Raw genomic sequence first — 26,184 nt, forward strand, 5'->3', positions numbered from 1 at the left:
TTGTCTTCATATAAACTCTAGACAGAAGCATTCTCAGAAGCTTCATTGGGATGTTTCAATTGAAGTCACAGTGTTGAACAGTTCCTTTCATAGAACAGGTTTGAAACACTCTTTTTGTAGTATCTGGAAGTGGACATTTGGAGCGCTCTCAGGACTACGGTGAAAAAGGAAATATCTTCCAATAAAAGCTACATAGAAGCAATGTCAGAAACTTTTTCATGATGTATCTACTCAGCTAACAGAGTTGAACCTTTCTTTTGAGAGAGCAGTTTTGACACACTCTTTTTGTGGAATCTGGAAGTGGATATTTGTCTAGCTTTGAGGATTTCGTTGGAAACGGGATTACATATAAAAAGCAGACAGCAGCATTCCCAGTAACTTCTTTGTGATGTTTGCATTCAAGTCACAGAGTTGAACATTCCCTTTCATAGAGCAGGTTTGAAAAACTCTTTTTGTAGTATCTGGATGTGGACATTTGGAGCGCTTTCAGGCCTATGGTGAAAAAGGAAATATCTTCCCCTGAAAACTAGACAGAAGCATTCTCAGAATCTTATTTGTGATGTGCGCCCTCAGCTAACAGTGTTGAAGCTTTCTTTTGATAGAGCAGTTTTGAAACACTCTTTTCGTAAAATCTGCAAGAGGATAATTGGTAGCTTTTGAGGATTTCGTTGGAAACGGGATTGTCTTCATATAAACTCTAGACAGAAGCATTCTCAGAAGCCTCATTGGGATGTTTCAATTGAAGTCACAGTGTTGAACAGTCCCTTTCATAGAGCAGGTTTGAAACACTCTTTTTGTAGTATCTGGAAGTGGACATTTGGAGCGCTTTCAGGCCTATGGTGAAAAAGGAAATATCTTCCTCTGAAAACTAGACAGAAGCATTCTCAGAAACTTATTTGTGATGTGCGCCCTCAACTAACAGTGTTGAAGCTTTCTTTTGATAGAGCAGTTTTGAAACACTCTTTTTGTGGAATCTGCATCTGGATATTTTTCTAGCTTTGAGGATTTCGTTGGAAACGGGATTACATATAAAAAGCAGACAGCAGCATTCTCAGAAACTTATTTGTGATGTGCGCCCTCAAGTAACAGTGTTGAACCTGTCTTTTGATAGAGCAGTTTTGAAACACTCTTTTTGTAAAATCTGCAAGAGGATATTTGGATAGCTTTGAGGATTTCGTTGGAAACGGGATTGTCTTCATATAAACTCTAGACAGAAGCATTCTCATAAATTTCTTTGGGATGTTTCAATTGAAGTCACAGTGTTGAACATTCCCTGTCATAGAGCAGGTTTGAAACACTCTTCTTGTAGTATCTGGAAGTGGACATTTGGAGCGCTCTCAGGACTACAGTGAAAAAGGAAATATCTTCCAATAAAAGCTAGATAGAAGCAATGTCAGAAACTTTTTCATGATGTATCTACTCAGCTAACAGAGTTGAACCTTTCCTTTGAGAGAGCAGTTTTGAAACACTCTTTTTGTGGAATCTGCAAGTGGATATTTGTCTAGCTTTGAGGATTTCTTTGGAAACGGGATTACATATAAAAAGCAGCCAGCAGCATTCCCAGAAACTTCTTTGTGACGTTTGCATTCAAGTCACAGAGTTGAACATTCCCTTTCATAGAGCAGGTTTGAAACACTCTTTTTGTAGTATCTGGATGTGGACATTTGGAGCGCTTTCAGGCCTATGGTGAAAAAGGAAATATCTTCCCCTGAAAACTAGACAGAAGCATTCTCAGAATCTTATTTGTGATGTGCGCCCTCAACTAACAGTGTTGAAGCTTTCTTTTGATAGAGCAGTTTTGAAACACTCTTTTCGTAAAATCTGCAAGAGGATATTTTGATAGCTTTGAGGATTTCGTTGGAAACGGGATTGTCTTCATATAAACTCTAGACAGAAGCATTCTCAGAAGCTTCATTGGGATGTTTCAATTGAAGTCACAGTGTTGAACAGTCCCTTTCATAGAGCAGGTTTGAAACACTCTTTTTGTAGTATCTGGAAGTGGACATTTGGAGAGATCTCAGGAATACGGTGAAAAAGGAAATATCTTCTCCCTGAAAACTAGACAGAAGCATTCTCAGAAACTTATTTGTGATGTGCGCCCTCAACTAACAGTGTTGAAGCTTTCTTTTGATAGAGCAGTTTTGAAACACTCTTTTTGTGGAATCTGCAAGTGGATATTTGTCTAGCTTTGAGGATTTCGTTGGAAACGGGATTACATATAAAAAGCAGACAGCAGCATTCTCAGTAAACTTATTTGTGATGTGCGCCCTCAACTAACAGTGTTGAACCTTTCTTTTGATAGAGCAGTTTTGAAACACTCTTTTTGTAATATCTGCAAGAGGATATTTGGATAGCTTTGAGGATTTCGTTGGAAACGGGATTGTCTTCATATAAACTCTAGACAGAAGCATTCTCAGAAGCTTCATTGGGATGTTTCAATTGAAGTCACAGTGTTGAACAGTCCCTTTCATAGAGCAGGTTTGAAACACTCTTTTTGTAGTATCTGGAAGTGGACATTTGGAGCGCTCTCAGGACTACGGTGAAAAAGGAAGTATCTTCCAATAAAAGCTAGATAGAAGCAATGTCAGAAACTTTTTCATGATGTATCTACTCAGCTAACAGAGTTGAACCTTCCTTTGAGAGAGCAGTTTTGAAACACTCTTTTTGTGGAATCTGCAAGTGGATATTTGTCTAGCTTTGAGGATTTCGTTGGAAACGGGATTGTCTTCATATAAACTCTAGACAGAAGCATTCTCAGAAGCTTCATTGGGATGTTTCAATTGAAGTCACAGTGTTGAACAGTTCCTTTCATAGAACAGGTTTGAAACACTCTTTTTGTAGTATCTGGAAGTGGACATTTGGAGCGCTCTCAGGACTACGGTGAAAAAGGAAATATCTTCCAATAAAAGCTACATAGAAGCAATGTCAGAAACTTTTTCATGATGTATCTACTCAGCTAACAGAGTTGAACCTTTCCTTTGAGAGAGCAGTTTTGAAACACTCTTTTTGTGGAATCTGCAAGTGGATATTTGTCTAGCTTTGAGGATTTCGTTGGAAACGGGATTACATATAAAAAGCAGACAGCAGCATTCCCAGTAACTTCTTTGTGGTGTTTGCATTCAAGTCACAGAGTTGAACATTCCCTTTCATAGAGCAGGTTTGAAACACTCTTTTTGTAGTATCTGGATGTGGACATTTGGAGTGCTTTCAAGCCTATGGTGAAAAAGGAAATATCTTCCCCTGAAAACTAGACAGAAGCATTCTCAGAAACTTATTTGTGATGTGCGCCCTCAACTAACAGTGTTGAAGCTTTCTTTTGATAGAGCAGTTTTGAAACACTCTTTTTGGAATATCTGCAAGAGGGTATTTGGATAGCTTTGAGGATTTCGTTGGAAACGGGATTGTCTTCATATAAACTCTAGACAGAAGCATTCTCAGAAGCTTCATTGGGATGTTTCAATTGAAGTCACAGTGTTGAACAGTCCCTTTCATAGAGCAGGTTTGAAACACTCTTTTTGTAGTATGTGGATGTGGACATTTCGAGCGCTTTCAGGCCTATGGTGAAAAAGGAAATATCTTCCCCTGAAAACTAGACAGAAGCATTCTCAGAAACTTATTTGTGATGTGCGCCCTCAACTAACAGTGTTGAAGCTTTCTTTTGATAGAGCAGTTTTGAAACACTCTTTTTGTGGAATCTGCAAGTGGATATTTGTCTAGCTTTGAGGATTTCGTTGGAAACGGGATTACATATAAAAAGCAGACAGCAGCATTCTCAGAAACTTATTTGTGATGTGCGCCCTCAACTAACAGTGTTGAAGCTTTCTTTTGATAGAGCAGTTTTGAAACACTCTTTTTGTAATATCTGCAAGAGGATATTTGGATAGCTTTGAGGATTTCGTTGGAAACGGGATTAATTATACAAAGCAGACAGCAGCATTCTCAGAAGCTTCATTGGGATTTTTCAATTGAAGTCACAGTGTTGAACAGTCCCTTTCATAGAGCAGGTTTGAAACACTCTTTGTAGTATCTGGAAGTGGACATTTGGAGCGCTCTCAGGACTACGGTGAAAAAGGAAGTATCTTCCAATAAAAGCTAGATAGAAGCAATGTCAGAAACTTTTTCATGATGTATCTACTCAGCTAACAGAGTTGAACCTTTCTTTTGAGAGAGCAGTTTTGAAACACTCTTTTTGTGGAATCTGCAAGTGGATATTTGTCTAGTTTTGAGGATTTCGTTGGAAACGGGATTACATATAAAAAGCAGACAGCAGCATTCCCAGAAACTTCTTTGTGATGTTTGCATTCAAGTCACACAGTTGAACTTTCCCTTTCATAGAGCAGGTTTGAAACACTCTTTTTGTAGTATCTGGATGTGGACATTTGGGGCGCTTTCAGGCTTATGGTGAAAAAGGAAATATCTTCCCCTGAAAACTAGACAGAAGCACTCTCAGAATTTTATTTGTGATGTGCGCCCTCAACTAACAGTGTTGAAGCTTTCTTTTGATAGAGCAGTTTTGAAACACTCTTTTTGTAAAATCTGCAAGAGGATATTTGGATAGCTTTGAGGATTTCTTTGGAAACTGGATTGTCTTCATATAAACTCTAGACAGAAGCATTCTCAGAAGCTTCATTGGGATGTTTCAATTGAAGTCACAGTGTTGAACAGTCCCTTTCATAGAGCAGGTTTGAAACACTCTTTTTGTAGTATCTGGATGTGGACATTTGGAGCGCTTTCAGGCCTATGGTGAAAAAGGAAATATCTTCCCCTGAAAACTAGACAGAAGCATTCTCAGAAACTTATTTGTGATGTGCGCCCTCAACTAACAGTGTTGAAGCTTTCTTTTGATAGAGCAGTTTTGAAACACTCTTTTTGTGGAATCTGCAAGTGGATATTTGTCTAGCTTTCAGGATTTCGTTGGAAACGGGATTACATATAAAAAGCAGACAGCAGCATTCCCAGTAACTTCTTTGTGATGTTTGCATTCAAGTCCCAGAGTTGAACATTCCCTTTCATAGAGCAGGTTTGAAACACTCTTTTTATAGTATCTGGATGTGGACATTTGGAGCGCTTTCAGGCCTATGGTGAAAAAGGAAATATCTTCTCCTGAAAACTAGACAGAAGCATTCTCAGAAGCTTCATTGGGATGTTTCAATTGAAGTCACAGTGTTGAACAGTCCCTTTCATAGAGCAGGTTTGAAACACTCTTTTTGTAGTATCTGGAAGTGGACATTTGGAGAGATCTCAGGAATACGGTGATAAAGGAAATATCTTCCAATAAAAGCTAGATAGAAGCAATGTCAGAAAATTTTTCATGATGTATCTACTCAGCTAACAGAATTTAACCTTTCTTTTGAGAGAGAAGTTTTGAAACACTCTTTTTGTGGAATCTGCAAGTGGATATTTGTCTAGGTTTGAGGATTTCGTTGGAAACCGGATTACATATGAAAAGCAGACAGCAGCATTCCCAGAAACTTCTTTGTGATGTTTGCATTCAAGTCACAGAGTTGAACATTCCCTTTCATAGAGCAGGTTTGAAACACTCTTTTTGTAGTATCTGGATGTGGACATTTGGAGCGCTTTCAGGCCTATGGTGAAAAAGGAAATATCTTCCCCTGAAAACTAGACAGAAGCATTCTCAGAATCTTATTTGTGATGTGCGCCCTCAACTAACAGTGTTGAAGCTTTCTTTTGATAGAGCAGTTTTGAAACACTCTTTTTGTAAAATCTGCAAGAGGATATTTGGATAGCTTTGAGGATTTCCTTGGAAACGGGATTGTCTCCATATAAACTCTAGACAGAAGCATTCTCAGAAGCGTCATTGGGATGTTTCAATTGAAGTCACAGTGTTGAACAGTCCCTTTCATAGAGCAGGTTTGAAACACTCTTTTTGTAGTATCTGGATGTGGACATTTGGAGCGCTTTCAGGCCTATGGTTTAAAAGGAAATATCTTCCCCTGAAAACTAGACAGAAGCATTCTCAGAAACTTATTTCTGATGTGCGCCTTCAACTAACAGTGTTGAAGCATTCTTTTGATAGAGCAGTTTTGAAACACTCTTTTTGTGGAACCTGCAAGTGGATATTTGTCTAGCTTTGAGGATTTCGTTGGAAACGGGATTACATATAAAAAGCAGACAGCAGCATTCTCAGAAACTTATTTGTGATGTGCGCCCTCAACTAACAGTGTTGAAGCTTTCTTTTGATAGAGCAGTTTTGAAACACTCTTTTTGTAATATCTGCAAGAGGATATTTGGATAGCTTTGAGGATTTCGTTGGAAACGGGATTAATTATACAAAGCAGACAGCAGCATTCTCAGAAGCTTCATTGGGATGTTTCAATTGAAGTCACAGTGTTGAACAGTTCCTTTCATAGAACAGGTTTGAAACACTCTTTTTGTAGTATCTGGAAGTGGACATTTGGAGCGCTCTCAGGACTATGGTGAAAAAGGAAATATCTTCCAATAAAAGCTACATAGAAGCAATGTGAGAAACTTTTTCATGATGTATCTACTCAGCTAAAACAGTTGAACCTTTCTTTTGAGAGAGCAGTTTTGAAACACTCGTTTTGTGGAATCTGCAAGTGGATATTTGTCTAGCTTTGAGGATTTCTTTGGAAACGGGATTACATATAAAAAGCAGACAGCAGCATTCCCAGTAACTTCTTTGTGATGTTTGCATTCAAGTCACAGAGTTGAACATTCCCTTTCATAGAGCAGGTGTGAAACACTCTTTTTGTAGTATCTGGATGTGGACATTTGGAGCGCTTTCAGGCCTATGGTGAAAAAGGAAATATCTTCCCCTGAAAACTAGACAGAAGCATTCTCAGAATCTTATTTGTGATGTGCGCCCTCAACTAACAGTGTTGAACCTTTCTTTTGATAGAGCAGTTTTGAAACACTCTTTTTGTAATATCTGCAAGAGGATATTTGGATAGCTTTGAGGATTTCGTTGGAAACGGGATTGTCTTCATATAAACTCTAGACAGAAGCATTCTCAGAAGCGTCATTGGGATGTTTCAATTGAAGTCACAGTGTTGAACAGTCCCTTTCATAGAGCAGGTTTGAAACACTCTTTTTGTAGTATCTGGATGTGGACATTTGGAGCGCTTTCAGGCCTATGGTTTAAAAGGAAATATCTTCCCTTGAAAACTAGACAGAAGCATTCTCAGAAACTTATTTGTGATGTGCGCCCTCAACTAACAGTGTTGAACCTTTCTTTTGATAGAGCAGTTTTGAAACACTCTTTTTGTAATATCTGCAAGAGGATATTTGGATAGCTTTGAGGATTTCGTTGGAAACGGGATTACATATAAAAAGCAGACAGCAGCATTCTCAGTAAACTTATTTGTGATGTGCGCCCTCAACTAACAGTGTTGAACCTTTCTTTTGATAGAGCAGTTTTGAAACACTCTTTTTGTAATATCTGCAAGAGGATATTTGGATAGCTTTGAGGATTTCGTTGGAAACGGGATTGTCTTCATATAAACTCTAGACAGAAGCATTCTCAGAAGCTTCATTGGGATGTTTCAATTGAAGTCACAGTGTTGAACAGTCCCTTTCGTAGAGCAGGTTTGAAACACTCTTTTTGTAATATCTGGAAGTGAACATTTGGAGCGTTCTCAGGACTACGGTGAAAAAGGGAATATCTTCCAATAAAAGCTAGATAGAAGCAATGTCAGAAAATTTTTCATGATGTATCTACTCAGCTAACAGAGTTGAACCTTTCTTTTGACAGAGCAGTTTTGAAACACTCTTTTTGTGGAATCTGCAAGTGGATATTTGTCTAGCTTTGAGGATTTCGTTGGAAACGGGATTACATATAAAAAGCAGACAGCAGCATTCCCAGTAACTTCTTTGTGATGTTTGCATTCAAGTCACAGAGTTGAACATTCCCTTTCATAGAGCAGGTTTGAAACACTCTTTTTGAAGTATCTGGATGTGGACATTTTGAGCGCTTTCAGGCCTATGGTGAAAAAGGAAATATCTTCCCCTGAAAACTAGACAGAAGCATTCTCAGAAACTTATTTGTGATGTGCGCCCTCAACTAACAGTGTTGAACCTTTCTTTTGATAGAGCAGTTTTGAAACACTCTTTTTGTAAAATCTGCAAGAAGATATTTGGATAGCTTTGAGGATTTCGTTGGAAACGGGATTGTCTTCATATAAACTCTAGACAGAAGCATTCTCAGAAGCTTCATTGGGATGTTTCAATTGAAGTCACAGTGTTGAACAGTCCCTTTCATAGAGCAGGTTTGAAACACTCTTTTTGTAGTATCTGGATGTGGACATTTCGAGCGCTTTCAGGCCTATGGTGAAAAAGGAAATATCTTCCCCTGAAAACTAGACAGAAGCATTCTCAGAAACTTATTTGTGATGTGCGCCCTCAACTAACAGTGTTGAAGCATTCTTTTGATAGAGCAGTTTTGAAACACTCTTTTTGTGGAATCTGCAAGTGGATATTTGTCTAGCTTTGAGGATTTCGTTGGAAACGGGATTACATATAAAAAGCAGACAGCAGCATTCTCAGTAAACTTATTTGTGATGTGCGCCCTCAACTAACAGTGTTGAACCTTTCTTTTGATAGAGCAGTTTTGAAACACTCTTTTTGTAATATCTGCAAGAGGATATTTGGATAGCTTTGAGGATTTCGTTGGAAACGGGATTGTCTTCATATAAACTCTAGACAGAAGCATTCTCAGAAGCTTCATTGGGATGTTTCAATTGAAGTCACAGTGTTGAACAGTCCCTTTCATAGAGCAGGTTTGAAACACTCTTTTTGTAGTATCTGGAAGTGGACATTTGGAGAGTTCTCAGGAATACGGTGAAAAAGGAAATATCTTCCAATAAAAGCTAGATAGAAGCAATGTCAGAATCTTTTTCATGATGTGTCTACTCAGCTAACAGAGTTGAACCTTCCTTTGAGAGAGCAGTTTTGAAACACTCTTTTTGTGGAATCTGCAAGTGGATATTTGTCTAGCTTTGAGGATTTCGTTGGAAACGGGATTACATATAAAAAGCAGACAGCAGCATTCCCAGAAACTTCTTTGTGATGTTTGCATTCAAGTCACAGAGTTGAACATTCCCTTTCATAGAGCAGGTTTGAAACACTCTTTTTGTAGTATCTGGATGTGGACATTTGGAGCGCTCTCAGGCCTATGGTGAAAAAGGAAATATCTTCCCCTGCAAACTAGACAGAAGCATTCTCAGAAACTTATTTGTGATGTGCGCCCTCAACTAACAGTGTTGAACCTTTCTTTTGATACAGCAGTTTTGAAACACTCTTTTTGTAAAATCTGCAAGAGGATATTTGGATAGCTTTGAGGATTTCGTTGGAAACGGGATTGTCTTCATATAAACTCTAGACAGAAGCATTCTCAGATGCTTCATTGGGATGTTTCAATTGAAGTCACAGTGTTGAACAGTCCCATTCATAGAGCAGGTTTGAAACACTCTTTTTGTAGTATCTGGATGTGGACATTTGGAGCGCTTTCAGGCCTATGGTAAAAAAGGAAATATCTTCCCCTGAAAACTAGACAGAAGCATTCTCAGAAACTTATTTGTGATGTGCGCCCTCAACTAACAGTGTTGAAGCTTTCTTTTGATAGAGCAGTTTTGAAACACTCTTTTTGTAATATCTGCAAGAGGACATTTGGATAGCTTTGAGGATTTCGTTGGAAACGGGATTAATTATAAAAAGCAGACAGCAGGATTCTCAGAATCTTATTTGTGATGTGCGCCCTCAACTAACAGTGTTGAAGCTTTCTTTTGATAGAGCAGTTTTGAAACACTCTTTTTGTAAAATCTGCAAGAGGATATTTGGATAGCTTTGAGGATTTCGTTGGAAACGGGATTGTCTTCATATAAACTCTAGACAGAAGCATTCTCAGAAGCTTCATTGGGATGTTTCAATTGAACTCACAGTGTTGAAAAGTCCCTTTCATAGAGCAGGTTTGAAACACTCTTTTTGTAGTATCTGGAAGTGGACATTTGGAGAGGTCTCAGGAATACGGTGATAAAGGAAATATCTTCCTATAAAAGCTAGATAGAAGCAATGTCAGAAACTTTTTCATGATGTATCTACACAGCTAACAGAGTTGAACCTTTCTTTTGAGAGAGCAGTTTTGAAACACTCTTTTTGTGGAATCTGCAAGTGGATATTTGTCTAGCTTTGAGGATTTCGTTGGAAACGGGATTACATATAAAAAGCAGACAGCAGCATTCCCAGAAACTTCTTTGTGATGTTTGCATTCAAGTCACAGAGTTGAACATTCCCTTTCAGAGAGCAGGTTTGAAACACTCTTTTTGTAGTATCTGGATGTGGACATTTGGAGCGCTTTCAGGCCTATGGTGAAAAAGGAAATATCTTCCCCTGAAAACTAGACAGAAGCATTCTCAGAATCTTATTTGTGATGTGCGCCCTCAACTAACAGTGTTGAAGCTTTCTTTTGATAGAGCAGTTTTGAAACACTCTTTTTGTAAAATCTGCAAGAGGATATTTGGATAGCTTTGAGGATTTAATTGGTAACGGGATTGTCTTCATATAAACTCTAGACAGAAGCATTCTCAGAAGCTTCATTGGGATGTTTCAATTGAAGTCACAGTGTTGAACAGTCCCTTTCATAGAGCAGGTTTGAAACACTCTTTTTGTAGTATCTGGAAGTGGACATTTGGAGAGATCTCAGGAATACGGTGATAAAGGAAATATCTTCCAATAAAAGCTAGATAGAAGCAATGTCAGAAACTTTTTCATGATGTATCTACTCAGCTAACAGAGTTGAACCTTTCTTTTGAGAGAGCAGTTTTGAAACACTCTTTTTGTGGAATCTGCAAGTGGATATTTGTCTAGCTTTGAGGATTTCATTGGAAACGGGATTACATATAAAAAGCAGACAGCAGTATTCCCAGAAACTTCTTTGTGATGTTTGCATTCACGTCACAGAGTTGAACATTCCCTTTCATAGAGCAGGTTTGAAACACTCTTTTTGTAGTATCTGGAAGTGGACATTTGGAGCGCTCTCAGGACTACGGTGAAAAAGGAAATATCTTCCAATAAAAGCTAGATAGAAGCATTCTCAGAAACTTATTTGTGATGTGCGCCCTCAACTAACAGTGTTGAAGCTTTCTTTTGATAGAGCAGTTTTGAAACACTCTTTTTGTAAAATCTGCAAGAGGATATTTGGATAGCTTTGAGGATTTCGTTGGAAACGGGATTGTCTTCATATAAACTCTAGACAGAAGCATTCTCAGAAGCTTCATTGGGATGTTTCAATTGAAGTCACAGTGTTGAACAGTCCCTTTCATAGAGCAGGTTTGAAACACTCTTTTTGTAGTATCTGGATGTGGACATTTGGAGCGCTTTCAGGCCTATGGTGAAAAAGGAAATATCTTCCCCTGAAAACTAGAGAGAAGCATTCTCAGAATCTTATTTGTGATGTGCGCCCTCAACTAACAGTGTTGAAGCTTACTTTTGATAGAGCAGTTTTGAAACACTCTTTTTGTGGAATCTGCAAGTGGATATTTGTCTAGCTTTGAGGATTTCGTTGGAAACGGGATTACATATAAAAAGCAGACAGCAGCATTCTCAGAAACTTATTTGTGATGTGCACCCTCAACTAACAGTGTTGAAGCTTTCTTTTGACAGAGCTGTTTGAAACACTCTTTTTGTAAAATCTGCAAGAGGATATTTGGATAGCTTTGAGGATTTCGTTGGAAACGGGATTGTCTTCATATAAACTCTAGACAGAAGCATTCTCAGAAGCTACATTGGGATGTTTCAATTGAAGTCACAGTGTTGAACAGTCCCTTTCATAGAGCAGGTTTGAAAAACTCATTTTGTAGTATCTGGAAGTGGACATTTGGAGCGCTCTCAGGACTACGGTGAAAAAAGAAATATCTTCCAATAAAAGCTAGATAGAAGCAATGTCAGAAACTTTTCATGAAGTATCTACTCAGCTAACAGAGTTGAACATTTTTTTTGAGAGAGCAGTTTTGAAATACGCTTTTTGTGGAATCTGCAGGTGGATATTTGTCTAGCTTTCAGGATTTCGTTGGAAACGGGATTACATATAAAAAGCAGACAGCAGCATTCCCAGGAACTTCTCTGTGATGTTTGCATTCAAGTCAGAGAGTTGAACATTCCCTTTCAGAGAGCAGGTTTGAAACACTCTTTTTGTAGTATCTCGATGTGGACATTTGGAGCGCTTTCAGGCCTATGGTGAAAAAGGAAATATCTTCCCCTGAAAACTAGACAGAAGCATTCTCAGTAATCTTATTTGTGATGTGCGCCCTCAACTAACAGTGTTGAAACTTTCTTTTGATAGAGCAGTTTTGAAACACTCTTTTTGTAAAATCTGTAAGAGGATATTTCGATAGCTTTGAGGATTTCGTTGGAAACGGGATTGTCTTCATATAAACTCTAGACAGAAGCATTCTCAGAAGCTTCATTGGGATGTTTCAATTGAAGTCACAGTGTTGAACAGTCCCTTTCATAGAGCAGGTTTGAAACACTCTTTTTGTAGTATCTGGATGTGGACATTTGGAGCGCTTTCAGGCCTATGGTGAAAAAGGAAATATCTTCCCCTGAAAACTAGACAGAAGCATTCTCAGAAACTTATTTGTGATGTGCGCCCTCAACTAACAGTGTTGAAGCATTCTTTTGATAGAGCAGTTTTGAAACACTCTTTTTGTGGAATCTGCAAGTGGATATTTGTCTAGCTTTGAGGATTTCGTTGGAAACGGGATTACATATGAAAAGCAGACAGCAGCATTCTCAGAAACTTATTTGTGATGTGCGCCCTCAACTAACAGTGTTGAAGCTTTCTTTTGATAGAGCAGTTTTGAAACACTCTTTTTGTAATATCTGCAAGAGGATATTTGGATAGCTTTGAGGATTTCGTTGGAAACGGGATTAATTATACAAAGCAGACAGCAGGATTCTCAGAAGCTTCATTGGGATGTTTCAATTGAAGTCACAGTGTTGAACAGTCCCTTTCATAGAGCAGGTTTGAAACACTCTTTTTGTAGTATCTGGAAGTGGACTTGTGGAGCGTTCTCAGGACTACAGTGAAAAAGGAAATATCTTCCTATAAAAGCTAGATAGAAGCAATGTCAGAAACTTTTTCATGATGTATCTACTCAGCTAACAGAGTTGAACCTTCCTTTGAGAGAGCAGTTTTGAAACACTCTTTTTGTGGAATCTGCAAGTGGATATTTGTCTAGCTTTGAGGATTTCGTTGGAAACGGGATTACATATAAAAAGCAGACAGCAGCATTCCCAGAAACTTCTTTGTGATGTTTGCATTCAAGTCACAGAGTTGAACATTCCCTTTCAGAGAGCAGGTTTGAAACACTCTTTTTGTAGTATCTGGATGTGGACATTTGGAGCGCTTTCAGGCCTATGGTGAAAAAGGAAATATCTTCCCCTGAAAACTAGACAGAAGCATTCTCAGAATTTTATTTGTGATGTGCGCCCTCAACTAACAGTGTTGAAGCTTTCTTTTGATAGAGCAGTTTTGAAACACTCTTTTTGTAAAATCTGCTAGAGAATATTTGGATAGCTTTGAGGATTTCTTTGGAAACGGGATTGTCTTCATATAAACTCTAGACAGAAGCATTCTCAGAAGCTTCATTGGGATGTTTCAATTGAAGTCACAGTGTTGAACAGTCCCTTTCATAGAGCAGGTTTGAAACACTCTTTTTGTAGTATCTGGATGTGGACATTTGGAGCGCTTTCAGGCCTATGGTGAAAAAGGAAATATCTTCCCCTGAAAACTAGACAGAAGCATTCTCAGAAACTTATTTGTGATGTGCGCCCTCAACTAACAGTGTTGAAGCTTTCTTTTGATAGAGCAGTTTTGAAACACTCTTTTTGTAATATCTGCAAGAGGATATTTGGATAGCTTTGAGGATTTCGTTGGAAACGGGATTAATTATAAAAAGCAGACAGCAGCATTCTCAGAAACTTATTTGTGATGTGCGCCCTCAACTAACAGTGTTAAAGCTTTCTTTTGATAGAGCAGTTTTGAAACACTCTTTTTGTAATATCTGCAAGAGGATATTTGGATAGCTTTGAGGATTTCGTTGGAAACGGGATTGTCTTCATATAAACTCCAGACAGAAGCATTCTCAGAAGCTTCATTGGGATGTTTCAACAGAAGTCACAGTGTTGAACAGTCCCTTTCATAGAGCAGGTTTGAAACACTCTTTTTGTAGTATGTGGAAGTGGACATTTGGAGAGTTCTCAGGAATACCGTGAAAAAGGAACTATCTTCCAATAAAAGCTAGATAGAAGCAATGTCAGAAACTTTTTCATGATGTATCTACTCAGCTAACAGAGTTGAACCTTTCTTTTGAGAGAGCAGTTTTGAAACACTCTTTTTGTGGAATCTGCAAGTGGATATTTGACTAGCTTTGAGGATTTCGTTGGAAACGGGATTACATATAAAAAGCAGACAGCCAGCATTCCCAGTAACTTCTTTGTGATGTTTGCATTCAAGTCACAGTAGTTGAACATTCCCTTTCATAGAGCAGGTTTGAAACACTCTTTTTGAAGTATCTGGTTGTGGACATTTGGAGCGCTTTCAGGCCTATGGTGAAAAAGGAAATATCTTCCCCTGAAAACTAGACAGAGCATTCTCAGAATCTTATTTGTGATGTGCGCCCTCAACTAACAGTGTTGAAGCTTTCTTTTGATAGAGCAGTTTTGAAACACTCTTTTTGTAAAATCTGCAAGAGGATATTTGGATAGCTTTGAGGATTTCGTTGGAAACGGGATTGTCTTCATATAAACTCTAGACAGAAGCATTCTCAGATGCTTCATTGGGATGTTTCAATTGAAGTCACAGTGTTGAACAGTCCCTTTTATAGAGCAGGTTTGAAACACTCTTTTTGTAGTATCTGGATGTGGACATTTGGAGCGCTTTCAGGCCTATGGTGAAAAAGGAAATATCTTCCCCTGAAAACTAGACAGAAGCATTCTCAGAAACTTATTTGTGATGTGCGCCCTCAACTAACAGTGTTGAAGCATTCTTTTGATAGAGCAGTTTTGAAACACTCTTTTTGTGGAATCTGCAAGTGGATATTTGTCTAGCTTTGAGGATTTCGTTGGAAACGGGATTACATATAAAAAGCAGACAGCAGCATTCCCAGAAACTTCTTTGTGATGTTTGCACTCAAGTCACAGAGTTGAACATTCCCTTTCATAGAGCAGGTTTGAAACACTCTTTTTGTAGTATCTGAATGTGGACATTTGGAGCGCTTTCAGGCCTATGGTGAAAAAGGAAATATCTTCCCCTGAACACTAGACAGAAGCATTCTCAGAAGCTTCATTGGGATGTTTCAATTGAAGTCACAGTGTTGAACAGTCCCTTTCATAGAGCAGGTTTGAAACACTCTTTTTGTAGTATCTGGAAGTGGACATTTGGAGCGCTCTCAGGACTACGGTGAAAAAGGAAGTATCTTCCAATAAAAGCTAGATAGAAGCAATGTCAGAAACTTTTTCATGATGTATCTACTCAGCTAACAGAGTTGAACCTTTCTTTTGAGAGAGCAGTTTTGAAACACTCTTTTTGTGGAATCTGCAAGTGGATATTTGTCTAGCTTTGAGGATTTCGTTGGAAACGGGATTACATATAAAAACTAGACAGCAGCATTCCCAGAAACTTCTTTGTGATGTTTGCATTCAAGTCACAGAGTTGAACATTCCCTTTCATAGAGCAGGTTTGAAACACTCTTTTTGTAGTATCTGGATGTGGACATTTGGAGTGCTTTCAAGCCTATGGTGAAAAAGGAAATATCTTCCCCTGAAAACTAGACAGAAGCATTCTCAGAATCTTATTTGTGATGTGCACCCTCAACTAACAGTGTTGAAGCTTTCTTTTGATAGAGCAGTTTTGAAACACTCTTTTTGTAAAATCTGCAAGAGGATATTTGGATAGCTTTGAGGATTTCTTTGGAAACGGGATTGTCTTCATATAAACTCTAGACAGAAGCATTCTCAGAAGCTTCATTGGGATGTTTCAATTGAAGTCACAGTGTTGAACAGTCCCTTTCATAGAGCAGGTTTGAAACACTCTTTTTGTAGTATCTGGAAGTGGACATTTGGAGCGCTCTCAGGACTGCGGTGAAAAAGGAAATATCTTCCAATAAAAGCTACATAGAAGCAATGTCAGAAACTTTTTCAGGATGTATCTACTCAGCTAAAAGAGTTGAAACTTTCTTTAGAGAGAGGAGTTTTGAAACACTATTTTTGTGGAATCTGCAAGTGGATATTTGTCTAGCTTTGAGGATTTCGTTGGAAACGGGATTACATATAAAAAGCAGACAGCAGCATTCCCAGAAACTTCTTTGTGATGTTTGCATTCAAGTCACAGAGTTGAACATTCCCTTTCATAGAGCAGGTTTGAAACACTCTTTTTGTAGTATCTGGATGTGGACATTTGCAGCGCTTTCAGGCCTAAGGTGAAAAAGGAAATATCTTCCCCTGAAAACTAGACAAAAGCATTCTCAGAAACTTATTTGTGATGTGCGCCCTCAACTAACAGTGTTGAAGCTTTCTTTTGATAGAGCAGTTTTGAAACACTCTTTTTGTAATATCTGCAAGAGGATATTTGGATAGCTTTGAGGATTTCGTTGGAAACGGGATTGTCTTCATATAAACTCTAGACAGAAGCATTCTCAGAAGCTTCATTGGGATGTTTCAATTGAAGTCACAGTGTTGAACAGTCCCTTTCATAGAGCAGGTTTGAAACACTCTTTTTGTAGTATCTGGATGTGGACATTTGGAGCGCTTTCAGGCCTATGGTTTAAAAGGAAATATCTTCCCCTGAAAACTAGACAGAAGCATTCTCAGAAACTTATTTGTGATGTGCGCCCTCAACTAACAGTGTTGAAGCTTTCTTTTGATAGAGCAGTTTTGAAACACTCTTTTTGTGGAATCTGCAAGTGGATATTTGTCTAGCTTTGAGGATTTCGTTGGAAACGGGATTACATATAAAAAGCAGACAGCAGCATTCTCAGTAAACTTATTTGTGATGTGCGCCCTCAACTAACAGTGTTGAACCTTTCTTTTGATAGAGCAGTTTTGAAACACTCTTTTTGTAATATCTGCAAGAGGATATTTGGATAGCTTTGAGGATTTCGTTGGAAACGGGATTGTCTTCATATAAACTCTAGACAGAAGCATTCTCAGAAGCTTTATTGGGATGTTTCAATTGAAGTCACAGTGTTGAACAGTCCCTTTCATAGAGCAGGTTTGAAACACTCTTTTTGTAGTATCTGGAAGTGGACATTTGGAGCGCTCTCAGGACTGCGGTGAAAAAGGAAATATCTTCCAATAAAAGCTAGATAGAAGCAATGTCAGAAAATTTTTCATGATGTATCTACTCAGCTAACAGAGTTGAAACTTTCTTTTGAGAGAGCAGGTTGGAAACACTCTTTTTGTGGAATCTGCAAGTGGATATTTGTCTAGCTTTGAGGATTTCGTTGGAAACGGGATTACATGTAAAAAGCAGACAGCAGCATTCCCAGAAACTTCTTTGTGATATTTGCATTCAAGTCACGGACTTGAACATTCCCTTTCATAGAGCATGTTTGAAACACTCTTTTTGTAGTATCTGGATGTGGACATTTGGAGCGCTTTCAGGCCTATGGTGAAAAAGGAAATATCTTCCCCTGAAAATTAGACAGAAGCATTCTCAGAATCTTATTTGTGATGTGCGCCCTCAACTAACAGTGTTGAAGCTTTCTTTTGATAGAGCAGTTTTGAAACACTCTTTTTGTAAAATCTGCAAGAGGATATTTGGATAGCTTTGAGGATTTCGTTGGAAACGGGGTTGTCTTCATATAAACTCTAGACAGAAGCATTCTCAGAAGCTTCATTGGGATGTTTCAATTGAAGTCACAGTGTTGAACAGTCCCTTTCATAGAGCAGGTTTGAAACACTCTTTTTGTAGTATCTGGATGTGGACATTTAGAGCGCTTTCAGGCCTATGGTGAAAAAGGAAATATCTTCCCCTGAAAACTAGACAGAAGCATTCTCAGAAACTTATTTGTGATGTGCGCCCTCAACTAACAGTGTTGAAGCTTTCTTTTGATAGAGCAGTTTTGAAACACTCTTTTTGTGGAATCTGCAAGTGGATATTTGTCTAGCTTTGAGGATTTCGTTGGAAACGGGATTACATATAAAAAGCAGACAGCAGCATTCTCAGAAACTTATTTGTGATGTGCGCCCTCAACTAACAGTGTTGAAGCTTTCTTTTGATAGAGCAGTTTTGAAACACTCTTTTTGTAATATCTGCAAGAGGATATTTGGATAGCTTTGAGGATTTCGTTGGAAACGGGATTAATTATACAAAGCAGACAGCAGCATTCTCAGAAGCTTCATTGGGATGTTTCAATTGAAGTCACAGTGTTGAACAGTCCCTTCCATAGAGCAGGTTTGAAACACTCTTTTTGTAGTATATGGAAGTGGACATTTGGAGCGTTCTCAGGACTACAGTGAAAAAGGAAATATCTTCCAATAAAAGCTAGATAGAAGCAATGTCAGAAACTTTTTCATGATGTATCTCCTCAGCTAACAGAGTTGAACCATTCTTTTGAGAGAGCAGTTTTGAAACACTCTTTTTGTGGAATCTGCAAGTGGATATTTGTCTAGCTTTGAGGATTTCGTTGGAAACGGGATTACATATAAAAAGCAGACAGCAGCATTCCCAGAAACTTCTTTGTGATGTTTGCATTCAAGTCACAGAGTTGAACATTCCCTTTCATAGAGCAGGTTTGATACACTCTTTTTGTAGTATCTGGATGTGGACATTTGGCGCGCTTTCAGGCCTATGGTGAAAAAGGAAATATCTTCCCCTGAAAACTAGACAGAAGCATTCTCAGAATCTTATTTGTGATGTGCGCCCTCAACTAACAGTGTTGAAGCTTTCTTTTGATAGAGCAGTTTTGAAACACTCTTTTTGTAAAATCTGCAAGAGGATATTTGGAAAGCTTTGAGGATTTCGTTGGAAACGGGATTGTCTTCATATAAACTCTAGACAGAAGCATTCTCAGAAGCTTCATTGGGATGTTTCAATTGAAGTCACAGTGTTGAACAGTCCCTTTCATAGAGCAGGTTTGAAACACTCTTTTTGTAGTATCTGGATGTGGACATTTCGAGCGCTTTCAGGCCTATGGTGAAAAAGGAAATATCTTCCCCTGAAAACTAGACAGAAGCATTCTCAGAAACTTATTTGTGATGTGCGCCCTCAACTAACAGTGTTGAAGCATTCCTTTGATAGAGCAGTTTTGAAACACTCTTTTTGTGGAATCTGCAAGTGGATATTTGTCTATCTTTGAGGATTTCGTTGGAAACGGGATTATATATAAAAAGCAGACAGCAGCATTCTCAGAAACTTATTTGTGATGTGCGCCCTCAACTAACAGTGTTGAAGCTTTATTTTGATAGAGCAGTTTTGAAACACTCTTTTTGTAATATCTGCAAGAGAATATTTGGATAGCTTTGAGGATTTCGTTGGAAACGGGATTGTCTTCATATAAACTCTAGAAAGAAGCATTCTCAGAAGCTTCATTGGGATGTTTCAATTGAAGTCACAGTGTTGAACAGTCACTTTCATAGAGCAGGTTTGAAACACTCTTTTTGTAGCATCTGGAAGTGGACATTTGGAGCGTTCTCAGGACTACGGTGAAAAAGGAAATATCTTCCAATAAAAGCTAGATAGAAGCAATGTCAGAAACTTTTTCATGATGTATCTACTCAGCTAACAGAGTTGAACCTTTCTTTTGAGAGAGCAGTTTTGAAACACTCTTTTTGTGGAATCTGCAAGTGCATATTTGTCTAGCTTTGAGGATTTCGTTGGAAACGGGATTACATATAAAAAGCAGACAGCAGCATTCCCAGTAACTTCTTTGTGATGTTTGCATTCAAGTCACAGAGTTGAACATTCCCTTTCATAGAGCAGGTTTGAAACACTTTTTTTGTAGTATCTGGATGTGGACATTTGGAGCGCTTTCAGGCCTATGGTGAAAAAGGAAATATCTTCCAATAAAAGCTACATAAAAGCATTCTCAGAATCTTATTTGTGATGTGCGCCCTCAACTAACAGTGTTGAAGGTTTCTTTTGATAGAGCAGTTTTGAAACACTCTTTTTGTAAAATCTGCAAGAGGATATTTGGATAGCTTTGAGGATTTCGTTGGAAACGGGATTGTCTTCATATAAACTCTAGACAGAAGCATTCTCAGAAGCTTCATTGGGATGTTTCAATTGAAGTCACAGTGTTGAACAGTCCCTTTCATAGAGCAGGTTTGAAACACTCTTTTTGTAGAATCTGGATGTGGACATTTGGAGCGCTTTCAGGCATAAGGTGAAAAAGGAAATATCTTCCCCTGAAAACTAGACAGAAGCATTCTCAGAAACTTATTTGTGATGTGCCCACTCAACTAACAGTGTTGAAGCATTCTTTTGATAGAGCAGTTTTGAAACACTCTTTTTGTGGAATCTGCAAGTGGATATTTGTCTAGCTTTGAGGATTTCGTTGGAAACGGGATTACATATAAAAAGCAGACAGCAGCATTCTCAGAAACTTATTTGTGATGTGCGCCCTCAACTAACAGTGTTGAAGCTTTATTTTGATAGAGCAGTTTTGAAACACTCTTTTTGTAATATCTGCAAGAGAATATTTGGATAGCTTTGAGGATTTCGTTGGAAACGGGATTGTCTTCATATAAACTCTAGAAAGAAGCATTCTCAGAAGCTTCATTGGGATGTTTCAATTGAAGTCACAGTGTTGAACAGTTCCTTTCATAGAACAGGTTTGAAACACTCTTTTTGTAGTATCTGGAAGTGGACATTTGGAGCGCTCTCAGGACTATGGTGAAAAAGGAAATATCTTCCAATAAAAGCTACATAGAAGCAATGTCAGAAACTTTTTCATGATGTATCTACTCAGCTAACAGAGTTGAACCTTTCTTTTGAGAGAGCAGTTTTGAAACACTCTTTTTGTAAAATCTGCAAGAGGATATTTGGATAGCTTTGAGGATTTCGTTGGAAACGGGATTGTCTTCATATAAACTCTAGACAGAAGCATTCCCAGAAACTTCTTTGTGACGTTTGCATTCAAGTCACAGAGTTGAACATTCCCTTTCATAGAGCAGGTTTGAAACACTCTTTTTGTAGTATCTGGATGTGGACATTTGGAGCGCTTTCAGGCCTATGGTGAAAAAGGAAATATCTTCCCCTGAAAACTAGACAGAAGCATTCTCAGAATCTTATTTGTGATGTGCGCCCTCAACTAACAGTGTTGAAGCTTTCTTTTGATAGAGCAGTTTTGAAACACTCTTTTTGTAAAATCTGCAAGAGGATATTTGGATAGCTTTGAGGATTTCGTTGGAAACGGGATTGTCTTCATATAAACTCTAGACAGAAGCATTCTCAGAAGCGTCATTGGGATGTTTCAATTGAAGTCACAGTGTTGAACAGTCCCTTTCATAGAGCAGGTTTGAAACACTCTTTTTGTAGTATCTGGATGTGGACATTTGGAGCGCTTTCAGCCCTATGGTGAAAAAGGAAATATCTTCCCCTGAAAACTAGACAGAAGCATTCTCAGAAACTTATTTGTGATGTGCGCCCTCAACTAACAGTGTTGAAGCTTTCTTTTGATAGAGCAGTTTTGAAACACTCTTTTTGTGGAATCTGCAAGTGGATATTTGTCTAGCTTTGAGGATTTCGTTGGAAACGGGATTACATATAAAAAGCAGACAGCAGCATTCTCAGCAAACTTATTTGTGATGTGCGCCCTCAACTAACAGTGTGGAACTTTTCTTTTGATAGAGCAGTTTTGAAACACTCTTTTTGTAAAATCTGCAAGAGGATATTTGGATAGCTTTGAGGATTTCGTTGGAAACGGGATTGTCTTCATATAGAATCTAGACAGAAGCATTCTCAGAAGCTTCATTGGGATGTTTCAATTGAAGTCACAGTGTTGAACAGTCCCTTTCATAGAGCAGGTTTGAAACACTCTTTTTGTAGTATCTGGAAGTGGACATTTGGAGCGCTCTCAGGACTCCGGTGATAAAGGAAATATCTTCCAATAAAAGCTAGATAGAAGCAATGTCAGAAACTTTTTCATGATGTATCTACTCAGCTAACAGAGTTGAACCTTTCTTTTGAGAGAGCAGTTTTGAAACACTCTTTTTGTGGAATCTGCAAGTGGATATTTGTCTAGCTTTGAGTATTTCGTTGGAAACGGGATTACATATAAAAAGCAGACAGCAGCATTCCCAGTAACTTCTTTGTGATGTTTGCATTCAAGTCACAGAGTTGAACATTCCCTTTCATAGAGCAGGTTTGAAACACTCTTTTTGTAGTATCTGGATGTGGACATTTGGAGCGCTTTCAGGCCTATGGTGAAAAAGGAAATATCTTCCCCTGAAAACTAGACAGAAGCATTCTCAGAATCTTATTTGTGATGTGCGCCCTCAACTAACAGTGTTGAAGCTTTCTTTTGATAGAGCAGTTTTGAAACACTCTTTTTGTAAAATCTGCAAGAGGATATTTCGATAGCTTTGAGGATTTCATTGGAAACGGGATTGTCTTCATATAAACTCTAGACAGAAGTATTCTCAGAAACTTATTTGTGATGTGCGCCCTCAACTAACAGTGTTGAAGCTTTGTTTTGATAGAGCAGTTTTGAAACACTCTTTTTGTAAAATCTGCAAGAGGATATTTGGATAGCTTTGAGGATTTCGTTGGAAACGGGATTGTCTTCATATTAACCCTAGACAGTAGCATTCTCAGAAGCTTCATTGGGATGTTTCAATTGAAGTCACAGTGTTGAACAGTCCCTTTCATAGAGCAGGTTTGAAACACTCTTTTTTTAGCATCTGGAAGTGGACATTTGGAGCGTTCTCAGGACTACGGTGAAAAAGGAAATATCTTCCAATAAAAGCTAGAAAGAAGCAATGTCAGAAACTTTTTCATCATGTATCTACTCAGCTAAAAGAATTGAACCTTTCTTTTGAGAGAGCAGTTTTGAAACACTCTTTTTGTAAAATCTGCAAGAGGATATTTGGATAGCTTTGAGGATTTCGTTGGAAACGGGATTGTCTTCATATAGAATCTAGACAGAAGCATTCTCAGAAGCTTCATTGGGATGTTTCAATTAAAGTCACAGTGTTGAATATTCCCTTTCATAGAGCAGGTTTGAAACACTCTTTTTGTAGTATCTGGAAGTGGACATTTGTAGCGCTCTCAGGACTATGGTGAAAAAGGAAATATCTTCCAATAAAAGCTAGATAGAAGCAATGACAGAAACTTTTTCATGATGTATCTACTCAGCTAACAGAGTTGAACCTTTCCTTTGAGAGAGCAGTTTTGAAACACTCTTTTTGTGGAATCTGCAAGTGGATATTTGTCTAGCTTTGAGGATTTCGTTGGAAACGGGATTACATATAAAAAGCAGACAGCAGCATTCCCAGTAACTTCTTTGTGATGTTTGCATTCAAGTCACATAGTTGAACATTGCCTTTCATAGAGCAGGTTTGAAACACTCTTTTTGTAGTATCTGGATGTGGACATTTGGAGCGCTTTCAGGCCTGTGGTGAAAAAGGAAATATCTTCTCCTGAAAACTAGACAGAAAGCATTCTCAGAATCTTATTGGTGATGTGCGCCCTCAACTAACAGTGTTGAAGCTTTCTTTTGATAGAGCAGTTTTGAAACACTCTTTTCGTAAAATCTGCAAGAGGATATTTGGATAGCTTTGAGGATTTCGTTGGAAACGGGATTGTCTTCATATAAACTCTAGACAGAAGCATTCTCAGAAGCTTCATTGGAATGTTTCAATTGAAGTCACAGTGTTGAACAGTCCCTTTCATAGAGCAGGTTTGAAACACTCTTTTTGTAGTATCTGGATGTGGACATTTGGAGCGCTTTCAGGCCTATGGTTTAAAAGGAAATATCTTCCCCTGAAAACTAGACAGAAGCATTCTCAGAAACTTATTTGTGATGTGCGCCCTCAACTAACAGTGTTGAAGCTTTCTTTTGATAGAGCAGTTTTGAAACACTCTTTTTGTGGAATCTGCAAGTGGATATTTGTCTAGCTTTGAGGATTTCGTTGGAAACGGGATTACATATAAAAAGCAGACAGCAGCATTCTCAGTAAACTTATTTGTGATGTGCGCCCTCAACTAACAGTGTTGAACCTTTCTTTTGATAGAGCAGTTTTGAAACACTCTTTTTGTAATATCTGCAAGAGGATATTTGGATAGCTTTGAGGATTTCGTTGGAAACGGGATTGTCTTCATATAAACTCTAGACAGAAGCATTCTCAGAAGCTTCATTGGGATGTTTCAATTGAAGTCACAGTGTTGAACAGTCCCTTTCATAGAGCAGGTTTGAAACACTCTTTTTGTAGTATCTGGAAGTGGACATTTGGAGCGCTCTCAGGACTGCGGTGAAAAAGGAAATATCTTCCAATAAAAGCTAGATAGAAGCAATGTCAGAAACTTTTTCATGATGTGTCTACTCAGCTAACAGAGTTGAACCTTTCTTTTGAGAGACCAGTTTTGAAACACTCTTTTTGTGGAATCTGCAAGTGGGTATTTGTCTAGCTTTGAGGATTTCGTTGGAAACGGAATTACATATAAAAAGCAGACAGCAGCATTCCCAGAAACTTCTTTGTGATGTTTGCATTCAAGTCACAGAGTTGAACATTCCCTTTCAGAGAGCAGGTTTGAAACACTCTTTTTGTAGTATCTGGATGTGGACATTTGGAGCGCTTTCAGGCCTATGGTGAAAAAGGAAATATCTTCTCCTGAAAACTAGACAGAAGCATTCTCAGAATCTTATTTGTGATGTGCGCCCTCAACTAACAGTGTTGAAGCTTTCTTTTGATAGAGCAGTTTTGAAACACTCTTTTTGTAAAATCTGCAAGAGGATATTTGGATAGCTTTGAGGATTTCGTTGGAAACGGGATTGTCTTCATATAAAATCTAGACAGAAGCATTCTCAGAAGCTTCATTGGGATGTTTCAATTGAAGTCACAGTGTTGAACAGTCCCTTTCATAGAGCAGGTTTGAAACACTCTTTTTGTAGTATCTGGATGTGGACATTTGGAGCGCTTTCAGGCCTATGGTTTAAAAGGAAATATCTTCCCCTGAAAACTAGACAAAAGCATTCTCAGAAACTTATTTGTGATGTGCGCCCTCAACTAACAATGTTGAAGCTTTCTTTTGATAGAGCAGTTTTGAAACACTCTTTTTGTGGAATCTGCAAGTGGATATTTGTCTAGCTTTGAGAATTTCGTTTGAAACGGGATTACACATAAAAAGCAGACAGCAGCATTCTCAGCAAACTTATTTGTGATGTGCGCCCTCAACTAACAGTGTGGAACTTTTCTTTTGATAGAGCAGTTTTGAAACACTCTTTTTGTAAAATCTGCAAGAGGATATTTGGATAGCTTTGAGGATTTCGTTGGAAACGGGATTGTCTTCATATAGAATCTAGACAGAAGCATTCTGAGAAGCTTCATTGGGATGTTTCAATTGAAGTCACAGTGTTGAACAGTCCCTTTCATAGAGCAGGTTTGAAACACTCTTTTTGTAGCATCTGGAAGTGGACATTTGGAGCGCTCTCAGGACTACGGTGAAAAAGGAAATATCTTCCAATAAAAGCTAGATAGAAGCAATGTCAGAAACTTTTTCAGGATGTATCTACTCAGCTAACAGTGTTGAACCTTTCTTTTGAGAGAGCAGTTTTGAAACACTCTTTTTGTGGAATCTGGAAGTGGATATTTGTCTAGCTTTGAGGATTTCGTTGGAAACGGGATTACATATAAAAAGCAGACAGCAGCATTCACAGAAATTTCTTTGTGATGTTTGCATTCAAGTCACAGAGTTGAACATTCCCTTTCTTAGAGCAGGTTTGAAACACTCTTTTTGTAGTATCTGGATGTGGACATTTGGAGCGCTTTCAGGCCTATGGTGAAAAAGGAAATATCTTCCCCTGAAAACTAGACAGAAGCATTCTCAGAATCTTATTTGTGATGTGCGCCCTCAACTAACAGTGTTGAAGCTTTCTTTTGATAGAGCAGTTTTGAAACACTCTTTTTGTAAAATCTGCAAGAGGATATTTGGATAGCTTTGAGGATTTCGTTGGAAACGGGATTGTCTTCATATAAACTCTAGACAGA

At 38.3% G+C, this 26,184-nt stretch overlaps 1 annotated feature.

The window, feature by feature from the left end:
* Nucleotides 1-26,184: part of a centromere (Linear centromere model derived predominantly from reads generated in PMID: 17803354. This region does not represent an actual centromere sequence, as long-range ordering of repeats and unmapped WGS contigs is not provided by the model. For details of model production, see http://arxiv.org/abs/1307.0035.) that runs on past both edges of the window.

The sequence above is a fragment of the Homo sapiens genome, chromosome 2, assembly GCF_000001405.40.
Source record: "Homo sapiens chromosome 2, GRCh38.p14 Primary Assembly".
Taxonomy (NCBI): domain Eukaryota; kingdom Metazoa; phylum Chordata; class Mammalia; order Primates; family Hominidae; genus Homo; species Homo sapiens.